The sequence below is a fragment of the Homo sapiens genome, chromosome 5 (genome assembly GCF_000001405.40).
Source record: "Homo sapiens chromosome 5, GRCh38.p14 Primary Assembly".
NCBI lineage: Eukaryota > Metazoa > Chordata > Mammalia > Primates > Hominidae > Homo > Homo sapiens.
In genome coordinates this window covers 35,915,677-35,928,267 of record NC_000005.10, presented here as the reverse complement: position 1 = coordinate 35,928,267, position 12,591 = coordinate 35,915,677, and the positions used below count along the sequence as shown (strand labels likewise).

The following is a 12,591-nucleotide window of genomic DNA, read 5'->3' as shown; positions in this document are numbered from 1 at the left end:
AAGTGGTGTGGTCTTCAGGAGTTGGTTAGGTCACAAGGACTCATCCCTCCTGAATGAAATTAAGGTGTTAATAAAAGTCGCTTTGCAAATTATTGAGCCCTTTTTTGCCCTTCCATCTCTTCTGCCATGTGAAGACACAGCATTTATCCCCTCTGGAGGATCCATAGTTCAAGGTACCATCTGAAAGGCCGAGAGAATAGTCCTTGCCAGGCACCAAATCAGCTGATACCTTGATCTTGAACTTCCCATCCTCCAAAACAATGAGAAATAAATTTCTCTTGTTTATAAATTACCCCATCTATGGTATTTTGTTCTAGCAGCACAACTGTACTAAGACCTCTGGAATGCAATATTTATTTTAGAAGGGCATTTTCCAAGGGGAAACTTATTGAGGAACTATGGGTTTTTGCCATCTACCGTGTAGTAATAGCTAGTTTATTGAATGGACTAAAGCCAGTGCAGATGGTTTAATTTTTTCCATTAATTGCCTTCAGACATGGTCTGTTGTATATCTCTTCTCATACCTGGATGACATTTCAAGTATTGAAAGGTCCACCAAGTCTTAATCAAAATTTCAATCTTATACCCAGTTTCCAAGTACAGAGATAAAGAGCAAAAGCCACATCAAGTTCCCCATCCCTATGGGGGACTGGTCTCAGTGCTCAGGATCAAGCCCGAGCTAGAAGAAATAGGGAATGTTTTGTCTTGGATGAGAATTTAAAAGAAGGCAAATGTTTTCCACCTTCTCGGAACTAGCTTGATGCCCTACAAGCCTCATCAACAGCTGCCTACTGTATACCTTTCTCCTTTCTTCTCTCCCCATAGTAAAATGTTTTCAAAGCACATGGAATCATTATAGCAACCCCAGGTTCCTTGCTATTGAAAATAGCTAATGTAATGGCACAGGTATCTAAGAATTACAGAAATGCCTAAAAATGTTAAAAATCATGACATGGTCTGGCTATGGGGAAAATGGGCTTAACAGCATCAAGAGGTGGGACAGAGGCTCGGAACAATTGGACTGCAGACGGCTGCTGTTGTCACAAGGCTGGACCTGCAGGACTTCCTCAACAGGACAGCTTCCTCACAGTACGTGCTGTCTCAAGCAGTGTGGTGCAAAGGAAGACTGTCCAGGCAAAATCTGGTCCAGCCATCGCGACTGCACATCCCTGCCAGCGGGGAAGCCTCCTTTCCCCTCCTCAAGCACATCTCGCCTCTGTCATCTACACCACATTTGCTGTCCCTTTCTATTTACCTGATTCTGTCCTTCCCTCTCCACTTTAACGCAGGCTAACCCTGCTCTTCTCTTAAGTTCATCCGAGCTGACTAAACCTGCTTCGGTTCCCTTTCAAGGAACGGTCTTTTCCCTGAAAAAGGAAAACCAGGAATGTACGGTCAGAGAAGTCAAAGGAGGGAGAGTTTCCTGAGGGTGAGGTGAGAAGTTTCCATTGGATTTTGCAACAAAGAGGATGTAAAAGCGTTGGTGCCTTATAGTGTCTGGATCAACGATCTCTAGGGTTGCCTCTTTAGCAATAAGATCCCCTTCTGTGTTTGCAGGTAGTTGGCTGCAGATGGAGAGGAACAGAGAAAGGAAGAGAGATGTAATTCAGCTTACTGCCACCAGGGAGCACCAAAGACAAGTCAATAGATGCAGGCTAGGGCTAGAGCAGTTCCCTCTTCCAAGGGTCCTCTTAAATCTGTCTCTGAACCTTACGGAGGGAACCATGAAGATACAGACCCCATGCATTTACAGCTTTCCACATCCTTCCTACAATAATTCGCAAAATCCAGGCGGGAGAGAGTTTGGCGTGGCAGTTGGTTGTGCACCGGGAGGACAGTGGAATGAGACAGCCTTAATGGGACCATTGCTACCGTAGCTACACTCTGCCTCTGCCCCAAATCTCCAGGCTTCTGTGAATATCCTCCCTTGCTGCCAGCCACTGGAGGGTGAGAGTGGAGAGCGCAAGCAACAGCTCTGGATGCCAGCCCCGAGTCCGCCCTCTCCCTCAAACTGCACGTTCTGCCACTGGCCATCTCCTATCTCTTCTTCTCTCTCCGTCCACACGGTCCAGGCAGCATAGCTGGAAACAACAGTCTCCTATTGGCTAGCCTGTCCCGCCTTCCTATCCATTCTTCTCACTTTACAATGCAAACGGCCTTTCCCGTTTTTTCGTTTTTTTTTTTTTTTTTTTGAGACGGAGTCTAGCTCAGCCGCCCAGGCTGGAGTGCAGTGGCGCGATCTTGGCTCACTGTAACCACCGTCTCCTGGGTTCAAGCGATTCTCCTGCCTCAGCCTCCCGAGTAGCTGGGATTACAGGCAACCGCCATCATGACCGGCTAATTTTTGTATATTGGTAGAGACGGAGTTTCACCATGTTGGCCAGGCTGGTCTTGAACTCCTGACCTCAGGTGATCCGCCCGTCTCTGCCTCCCAAAGTGCTAGGATTACAGGCGTAAGCCACCGCGCCCGGCCAGAAGACTTTGTGGTCTCCTGTTTTTTAAGAAGACTTTTTCCCTTTTTTGTGGTCTCCTGTTTTTTAAGAAGACTTCTTCCCCTTTTAAGAAGACTTTTTCCTTTTTTAAGAAGAATTTTTCCCTTTTTAAGAAAACTTTGCGGTCTCCTGTTGCTCTCAGGAGAAAATCCAAATCCCACCCTGGCACCCCAGGCTCTTTGGGATCTGATGGCTGCCCGCCTGGTCAGTTTCATCTTTACCCACAATTCCCCTTTCCCTACTTCCTCCGAATCTTCACTACTGTTCATCTCCCCCTGCCACCCATACCTCTGTTCTCCAACCATACTGAAATACTTGTACTTTCCTAATTATATTGTTTTCTCTCTCACCTTAGTCTGAGTAGTTGGTACACCTGCTATCTAAAATATCCTTCTATCCCCACGTCCCCAGCCTCGATAACTACCACCTTCCATTAGGATGAAAGTTTAGACATCACCTCCTCTGAGAGGTCCTCAGAAAGCCCCACTCCCAGGCCAGGTAAGCCTCCCGTCCTCTTGTGATTGCATCCCCTGCTCAGCCCCCAGGCTGTAAGCGTTGTCTTGGTCCTGCTTTCATCCTACCCCTAGCACAGTGCATGGCGCTTCCTGAGCTCTTAGCAGACCTGTGTGGAAGGCAGAGACTGAACCGCATGCCTGGCCGGGGGAATGTGCAGACGCCTGAGAACACGTGGTGGCGCTGCGGCCAAGTGCGTCGGGAGCGCAGCCTCTTCGCCTTGCACAGGGATGCGCTCCGTTGTCACCACACCGGATCTTTAAGGTTCAGACAGAGTCTTCTACAGGCAGAGACACTTTGTGCACTGCTATGAAGTCGGTGACATATGTTTGGGGACTGACTCTTGCCCTGGTGCCTGGCGCCTTTATTGAAACTTCAAAGCTGAGCATCTCCCTTATGCACTTGAGATCCTGTGCAATCCTGCCTTCCTTAAAAGCCCCGGTGCTTAATAAACTTTTCCCTTCTGCTTAAATACAGGAGATCAGGATTCAAACTAATGAAGACTCTAGGCTATTCAAGGGCTTGCTCCTCTGAGTAATTCCTCACACTCCCACACTCTATTCCAGCATAGTGCCTCGAAAAGAGTACACAATACAGTTAGCTAGTGGTTGGTGAACTGGGTGATTCAATGATTAAAAGGGATGCTTACTATGGGCATTTCAAGTTTCACGGTAGGCTAGCAGGAGAGAATGGACTTTTTTCCCCTTGAATTTATTAGACTCCAGAAATAAACTGCCAACATCATCGCTGGGTAGGGTCAGCCTCAAGAGGTGGGACAGCCTGAGGTACTGGGCTGGCAGTTTCTTGCCTTCCTGGACTCGATCCCACTTTCCTATGAGAAAGCACCATCAAACTGTGCTTTGAGATTCTTATATGTTATTTCACAAACCACAAACATGATGAAGCAGAAAGAGCCCTTAGGAATCAGAAGCCGTCTGTTTTGGTCTTGGCCAGGACTTTTGAGCAAGTCACTTTGCCAACCCAAGCCTTAGTTTCCAAGTTTGCAAAATGAGGTTGCACTAGAGAATCTTCAAGGGTCATACAGTTCTAACAGCATGTGGATTACTGTGAGTCATGTTTCCGTGCGACTTGGGCAAGTTACCTGATTTCTCTGCATCCTAATTTCTTTATCTGTGAAATACCAATAATAGTAGTAACTAGCTCATAGGCTTGTTTTTCTTTTTTAACCTTTGCTAATTTACCAGGATGACTACGTGCCCAGCACACTTTAAATTTTTTTTTTAAATTGACAGATAAAGTTGTATGTATTTACTTTGTATAACATGATGTTTTGAAGTATGTATAATTGTGGAATGACTAAATCTAGCTAGTAACATCTGTGCATGGGTTTTATTTTATTGAGATGAATACACATAACATAAATTAGCAATTTTAAAGTGTATATTACATTCACAATGTTGATAAACCACCGTCTATGTCAAGTTCCAAAACATTTTTATTACCCCTGAAGGAAACTTTACATTCATTAAGCAGTCACTCCCCACTGGCCCTCCCACCCCAGCCCCTTGCAACCATTAATTTGCTTTCTGTCTCTATGAATTTGCCTATTCTGAATATTTCACATAAATGAAATCGTACAATGTGTGACATTTTGTGTCTGGCTTCTTGTACTTAGCATAACATGGCCAAGGTTTGTCCACATTGTGGTATCTATCAGTACTGTGTTCCTTTTTATGGCTGAAGAATGTTTCACTGTATGGCTATACCACAATTTGCTTATCCCTTTATCCATAGGTGGACATTTGGTTTGTTTCTACCTTTTGGCTGTTGTGAATAATGCTGCTATAAACATGGGTATATGTGCATTTGTTTGAGTTCCTGTTTTCAGTTCAACTCAAGGGGTTTTTGTGGGAACTGGACACATGCTTACTACCTAGTGGGGGCACCACTGATGCCTTTAATATTATTCTGAAGGTGTGCAAAGAGGGTCCCACTGGGGATCTGTCCCAGATCCAGGAGCTGGATCTCACTTTCTCTCCATGACTGGTTTTTAGTCTCTGTTTCTCTTCATTCTCACTTACTGTCATGGATGGCAGGGAAAAACCAGAGCAAAATGAATAAGGTGGACAAGGTAGGGGAGATGTCATGGGAAATGAGAATGGGAGGTGAGTGGCTGGGGACAGCCATTGGGCAAGTATCATGAAGCAAGGTCAAGGGTCAGGAAAGATGATGGTGGTCCTGGGAAGGATCAAGACTCTGAGGTGGGTTTAGAGAATGAGAAGGGCATGTTGTTGACACCAGTTCCTGCTTCCATAGGGGTTGGGGTGGGGATGGGGCGCATGCCACTAGCAGAATATGGTCAGGGCAAGAGAATGGCTCAGGCAAGGATGAGTAAGACAGCAGGACATGGCTAGATGAGTGAATTGGTGGTCTTGTCTGTGACTCAGGATTCTGGCTGTTAATAAGGGGACAGTTAGTGCTGAAGCTGGGAACGAGCTCTGGGAATTGTCAGCTTGAGGTCAGGTAACAAAATAGTAATAAGCAAACGCCAGTTATTAGAAAGCTAAAGCTGCCAGGAAGGGCACAGTCTTGGCTGCAGGTGTCCCTGTTGGATGAGAATTGGAACATGCTCCTTGTGTGTGCCTGGCAAGAACGGAGATGGAAGTCTCTAAGCGCAGGGTGTGCCACCGTCTGGAGTTCCAGGGAACCTCTGCTTAGGTGCCAGTGGAAGCAGAGGAAGACTGTGTAGCTTTAGACAGAGCAAGTTTTTCCTAATGTGGAGTAAAGAGCTGGGACGTAGACAGGTCTCCTTCTTGACCCGAGGTTCAAGAGAACTGAAAGGAATTGCTCCCACCTTCATCCACATACTGGGAATCTGAATACAGGGCAAGAAAGAGGGATCCTGTACCTTGGCTCGGTGGAGGCTGCAAGAAAGTGGCCACGTTAAGTGTATGCATCCCTGAATTGTCTATTCTGGCCTCAGTTATTGGCTTGATGAGATTCCCTTTCCCAAAAGTCAAATAAGGAGTACCCTCTATGGGAGACCTTTCAGGGTGTATAGGAGAACAACACTCTTGGCATAGACGAGGTTGTGAATCTGCAGGTTGCTGTCTTTGATGAAAATAATTCAGTCCTAATGTAGCACTTAGGGGAAGTGCCAGAATTTGACTGGGGAGGGAGCCTCGAAGCCAGGGTGGAACCACATTCTAATACCGTTTTTTTTTTTTTTTCTGCACATTGCATGCTGTCCTTTGCACATCCTTCGAGCCTCTTGCCTCTCATTCTTTTCATTCACGACTCACAGGTAACTTCCAGAATCCCCCATTTACTGAATATGTGGACTTATGAGAATTAGTGTTTTTTGAAGCTGGGATGGAATTTAAAGACCATCTTATCCAATCCTCCCAGTTAAAAGAGGAGGAAACAGGCTGTGAGATTCACTCACAGGCAGGTTACCAGGCAGATGGGGGTGAGGGGTTGGGGGAGTTGAGGGGTGGGGATTGAAGAGTCAGGACTATAACCCAGGTCTCCAGGCCCCCAGCTAAGTGCTCTTCCCACTGTTGTGCAAGCTTTGAGAGCTCAAGTGTGGCTACAAGAGTTTGTACGTCCCTTGGGGACCACTCAGGAGACAGCACTTCACTGCACCCATCCTAAGAACCTCATTAGGTGTTAGTGGATACTAACCTGTGAATCAAGGAGACCATACCCATTACTGGTAAGAATCATTAAGGATCAAGTGCTGAAAATCTCATTCAAGACAGAAGCAACAAAATCAATGTTTAGACCAAAGAGGAGAACATTAAATGTGAGGGTCAAGGGAATATGGAAAATTCTACATAAAATAATATGGTATATAATGTTGGTTCAAAAAAGAGAGTATAGAGAAATTGCACTTCTTTTATGGATGGAAGAGGGCTTCAGAAAGATCAAAACATCTTGGGAAATGGTGATATATTTAAGATTATTGTCTAGGCTGGAGAAACCAGATGTCCTCAGGACTAGATAAGTAAGTTATAAATATGCCAGGCACACAGTTGGCATAGAGAAAAATTGGAAATTCTGAGAGGTTTCCTGACAGAGAAGGCTGTAAATTTCCTTCTCAGTGAGGCTTCTGTCACTCTGCCCAGCCAGAGGCAGCGGCGAGGCCTGGACTTTGCTAACATGCTATGGCTTCCCCTCAGATGGCAGGGACAGCGCGCCATGACCGAGAGATGGCGATCCAGGCCAAGAAAAAGCTCACCACGGCCACCGACCCCATTGAAAGACTCCGACTGCAGTGCCTGGCCAGGGGCTCTGCTGGGATCAAAGGACTTGGCAGGTAGGACCCAGCTACAAGTGGCAGGGAATGGAGCGGGAAGGAATGACTCTGCCAGGTGAGGCTAATGTTGGCCACGTGGTCTTGGGGAAGTCATCTCCTCCTAGGGGCTCAGTTCCTTATTTGTAAAATGTAGAGTTTAGAAGAGTTGATCTATGAGGTCCCTTGTGACAGTTTTTGGATCTTAGTCCCAGATTCGGCAAGACTCATATCTGCTACAAGACAGTGCAGCTCTGGGAAAATATGAGGTAAAGGGAGAAGCAGCATGTGCCCTGGCATGGAGATGCCTACCAGGACAATGAGAGGGACTCTCTCTGCAGCTGTGATAATAAAGGCCAGGGTGGAAGAGGGAGGAAGGAACAGCCAGTTAGCCCTAATTGCAGAATTTGGAATTTTGCTCTCGGGCAATCATTTCTCCATCACTTCCAGGGACACTGGTATTGCTTGTCAGATAACTGATAGCTCACTGCCAATGGGGTTCTCTCAGCTGGGTAGCTCCTGTTCTCCCACCCTCTGTCCTCTGAGTGTGAATAGTTTTAAGGACTGAGAAACCAAAAGGGAAAGGAGATTGTGAGCCTCCTGAGGGCAGGTCCTGTGCATTATAAGAAACTCCATCAAGAGCCTGCCATGGGCCAGGCATTGGACACATCTCAGGGACCCGTGGGTGAACAAGGCTTCTTAAGCCCCCATGGAGGACTAAGACTATGGACAATATGAGTGATCTAAATGGCATCTCAGTGGTGTGAGAAGTTGTTTATTAGAGAAGTACAGGGTGCCAATGGGAGGGAAATCTAGCCTTGGACCCAGAAGATGCGGAAGGCTTCACTTCCAGCAAGGTACTGAGTGCCTGGGAGAAAACTCTGAACAGTCCCAAGTCTCAGACTAAGCCCAGCTCTGTCAGAAGGCCAGGCAGTGGGGATATGGACCCTGGTGGCCAGGCTGCCCCAGTCCAATGGGAAGACCAGCACCCATGCCCTCAATATTGTGTCACTTCCACCTCTATCCCATTCATCATGGGTCCACATCATTGTCCTTAGTGCAAACCCTTGAGGAATCCTCTCTTCCACTCTCTGGTTCACTCAGTGGAATCCCTCCTGCTACCTGTGCCATCTTCACCCCATACCCACTGCACACTGCGTCTCTACCAGCCTTTCCACTGGGAACCAGTCTACAGTCAATGGACACCGTTCCATCCTAAGCCTTTTGCAGAATGTGCCATCTGCCTCACTTACTGGCCTTGGCCTTCTCTAAGTAACTCCTAACTCAAGTGGAAGCTGCCCCTCTCCTCCACTCCTACCTTAGGGTCAGTTGAAGACTGAACACTCTCCTTCAGTCTAACTCCAAATCCCAGGTCATACACACCCCTTTGTTCATTTATTTCTTTCCCATAAATCCTGTCTTAGAAGGGCATCTCTTCAGGTTAGGCTCTGCCATCATCCCCCCTGCACAACATTTAGCATTCTGTGAAGCATTGACTCCCGGCACCATCTTTCCACCCTGAGTCTTTATCCTGACCAAGATCAAGATGACTTTGTTATTTATAACCTTGGCACCTTCATTTTTTGACATGAAATTCTTGTGGTTTTCAACAGTATACGTTCTTTCTTAGTCATTTCCAATTGCCTTGTAAATGTAGATACTTCTCTAGTATCTAAATTCTCAAGATTCTTTTGCTAGTATCCTTAATTTATCAGACAACTTGGCTACTCCTGAGTTAGCACATCTGTACCTTGGCCCCTTGCCACGTTCTTGGAATGCTATCCGTTCCTGAGATCCAAACTAATTTCACAATTTTTATATATATATATATATATATTTTTTTTTTTAATCAGGAAAGATACTAGCTAACCAGTGAATATCTCTATATAGTTGACTTAGTATCCAATCCAAACAAAACAAAAGTCATTTTTTTTGTTTTTTGTTTTCCAAATAGAGCTTCTTCTGCAGCCCCTACGGTTTTAACAGTATTACTACTCTTCCAGGTCTTTGGGTTGAAAACTTTAGAATTATCTTCATTAGCCCACCATATTGACTCCTTTATTTCTATAATATCTTGAAATCTTTATTTTTCTTATTTTCATCCCAATTGCTCAAGTGTAGACACTCAACATTTTTTTCACTGGACTCTTATGATAGTATTCTTGCTGGTTCCTTTGCTCCTAAGTTTTCAGTCCTCCAATTCATTCAACCCATTATTGCTAGAGTTCTGTTAGCTCTCTTATGGGTAAAGTTCTCATTATTTTGATAATGTCACTTCAAGTCAACCATTTAATGACTTTAAAAATGACTTGCTAATAAAGTTCAAATTTTTAGCATTTAAGGACATTTAAAAGTCTTTAGATTCTGATTACTCCAACTTTCCATCTTTTAAAAAAATTATTCTTTAAGTGCTGGGATACATGGGCAGAACGTGCAGGTTTGTTACATAGGTATACATGTGCCATGGTGGTTTGCTGCACCCATCATCCTGTCATCTACATTAGGTATTTCTCCTAATGTTATCCCTCCCCTAGCCCTCCACCCCCTGAAGTTCATGTTCCACTGTGTGATGTTCCCCTCCTTGTGTCCACGTAATCTCATTGTTGAACTCCCACTTACGAGTGAGATCATGCGATGTTTAGTTTTCTGTTCCTGTGTTACTTTGCTAAGAATTATGGTTTCCAGCTTCACCCATATCCCTGCAAAGGACATGAACTCATCCTTTTTTTATGGCAGCCTGATATTCCATGGTGTATGTGTGCCACATTTTCTTTATCCAGTCTATCATTGATGGACATTTGAGTTGGTTCCAAGTTTTTGTTGTTGTGAATAGAGCTGCAATAAACATATGTGTGCAAGTGTCTTTACAGTAGAAAGATCTATAATCCTTTAGGTATATATCCGGTAATGGGATTGTGGGGTCAAATGGTATTTGTGGTTCTCCATCCTTGAGGAAATGCCACTCTGTCTTTCACAATGGTTGAACTAATTCACACTTCTACCAACAGGGTAAAAGCATTCCTATTTCTCCACATCCTCTCCAGCATCTGCTGTTTCCTGACTTTTTAATGATCACCATTCTAACTGACATGATTTGCATTTCTCTAATGACGATAAGCTTTTTTTTAAAATTTTATTATTATTATACTTTAAGTTTTAGGATACACGTGCACAACGCGCAGGTTTGTTACATATGTATACATGTGCCATGTTGGTGTGCTGCACCCATTAACTGGTCATTTAGCATTAGGTATATCTTCTAATGCTATCACTTCCCCCTCCCTTCACCCCACAACAGGCACCGGTGTGTGATGTTCCCCTTCCTGTGTCCATGTGTTCTCATTGTTCAATTCCCACCTATGAGTGCGAACATGCGGTGTTTGGTTTTTTGTCCTTGCAATAGTTTGCTGAGAATGATGGTTTCCAGCTTCATCCATGTCCCTACAAAGGACATGAACTCATCATTTTTTATGGCTGCATAGTATTCCATGGTGTATATGTGCCACATTTTCTTAATCCAGTCTATCATTGTTGGACATTTGGGTTGGTTCCAAGTCTTTGCTATTGTGAATAGTGCCACAATAAACATACGTGTGTATGTGTCTTTAGAGCAGCATGATTTATAATCCTTTGGGTATATAACCAGTAATGGGATGGCTGGGTCAAGTGATATTTCTAGTTCTAGATCCCTGAGGAATTGCCACACTGACTTCCACAATGGTTGAACTAGTTTACAGTCCCACCAACAGTGTAAAAGTGTTCCTATTTCTCCACATTCTCTCCAGCACCTGTTGTTTCCTGACTTTTTAATGATCGTCATTCTAACTGGTGTGAGATGGTATGTCATTGTGGTTTTGATTTGCATTTCTCTGATGGCCAGTGATGATGAGCATTTTTTCATATGTCTTTTGGCTGCATAAATGTCTTCTTTTGAGAAGTGCCTGTTCATATCCTTTGCCCACTTTTTGATGGGGTTGTGTGTTTTTTTCTTGTAAATTTGTTTGAGTTCATTGTAGATTCTGGATATTAGCCCTTTGTCAGATGAGTAGGTTGCAAAAATTTTCTCCCCTTCTGTAGGTTGCCTCTTCACTCTGATGGTAGTTACTTTGGCTGTGCAGAAGCTCTTTAGTTTAATTAGATGCCATTTGTCCATTTTGGCTTTTGTCGCCATTGCTTTTGGTGTTTTAGACATGAAGTCCTTGCCCATGCCTATGTCCTGAATGGTATTGCCTAGGTTTTCTTCTACGGTTTTTATGGTTTTAGGTCTAACATGTAAGTCTTTAATCCATCTTGAATTAATTTTTGTGTAAGGTGTAAGGAAGGGATCCAGTTTCAGCTTTCTACATATGGCTAAGCCAGTTTTCCCAGCACCATTTATTAAATAGGCAATCCTTTCCCCATTACTTGTTTTTGTCAGGTTTGTCAAAGATCAGATAGTTGTAGATATGTGGCATTATTTCTGAGGGCTCTGTTCTGTTCCATTGGTCTATATCTCTGTTTTGGTACCAGTACCATGCTGTTTTGGTTACTGTAGCCTTGTAGTATAGTTTGAAGTCAGGTAGCGTTATGCCTCCAGCTTTTTCTTTTGTCTTAGGATTGTCTTGGCAATGTGGGCTCTTTTTTTGGTTCCATATGAACTTTAAAGTAGTTTTTTCCAATTCTGTGAAGAAAGTCGTTGGTAGCTTGATGGGGATGGCATTGAATCTATAAATTACCTTGGGCAGTATGGCCATTTTCAAGATATTGATTCTTCCTACCCATGAGCATGGAATGTTCTTCCATTTGTTTGTATCCTCTTTTATTTCCTTGAGCAGTGGTTTGTAGTTCTCCTTGAAGAGGTCCTTCACATCCCTTGTAAGTTGGATTCCTAGGTATTTTATTCTCTTTGAAGCAATTGTGAATGGGAGTTCACTCATGATTTGCCTCTCTGTTTGTCTGTTATTTGTGTTTAAGAATGCTTGCGATTTTTGCACATTGATTTTGTATCCTGAGACTTTGCTGAAGTTGCTTATCAGCTTAAGAAGATTTTGGGCTGAGACGATGGGGTTTTCTAGATATACAATCATGTCATCTGCAAACAGGGACAATTTGACTTCCTCTTTTCCTAATTGAATACCATTTGTTTCCTGCTCCTGTCTGATTGCTCTGGCCACAACTTCCAACACTATGTTGAATAGGAGTGGTGAGAGAGGGCATCCCTGTCTTGTGCCAGTTTTCAAATGGAATGCTTCCAGTTTTTTGCCGATTCAGTGTGATACTGGCTGTGGGTTTGTCATAGATAGCTCTTATTATTTTGAGATAACGTCCCATCAATACCTAATTTGTTGAGAG

At 44.1% G+C, this 12,591-nt stretch overlaps 1 protein-coding gene across 4 annotated transcripts in view, besides 3 other annotated features; it reads left to right on the top strand.

Annotated features, from left to right (window-relative positions):
* Positions 1–12,591, top strand: part of CAPSL (calcyphosine like) — a 34,492-nt gene that overhangs the window by 10,512 nt on the left and 11,389 nt on the right. For all 4 annotated transcript variants that reach the window (NM_144647.4, XM_006714444.4, NM_001042625.2 and 1 more), the window contains exon 2: positions 7,148–7,284. In NM_144647.4, the coding sequence (NP_653248.3) occupies positions 7,148–7,284 (137 nt within the window). The remainder of the gene's footprint in view (positions 1–7,147; positions 7,285–12,591) is intronic.
* Positions 1,630–1,709: an enhancer, noted in NCBI's record as "active region_22474". NCBI's record gives its function as "activates an Ori minimal core promoter by ATAC-STARR-seq in GM12878 lymphoblastoid cells {active_cell/tissue: GM12878}" and the evidence as "EXISTENCE:reporter gene assay evidence [ECO:0000049][PMID:35858748]".
* Positions 1,800–1,849: an enhancer, noted in NCBI's record as "active region_22473". NCBI's record gives its function as "activates an Ori minimal core promoter by ATAC-STARR-seq in GM12878 lymphoblastoid cells {active_cell/tissue: GM12878}" and the evidence as "EXISTENCE:reporter gene assay evidence [ECO:0000049][PMID:35858748]".
* Positions 3,047–3,341: a silencer, noted in NCBI's record as "tiled region #7574; HepG2 Repressive DNase unmatched - State 12:CtcfO, and K562 Repressive non-DNase unmatched - State 12:CtcfO". NCBI's record gives its function as "represses a minimal TATA promoter and a strong SV40 promoter by Sharpr-MPRA in HepG2 cells, with weaker repression in K562 cells {active_cell/tissue: HepG2 | K562}" and the evidence as "EXISTENCE:reporter gene assay evidence [ECO:0000049][PMID:27701403]".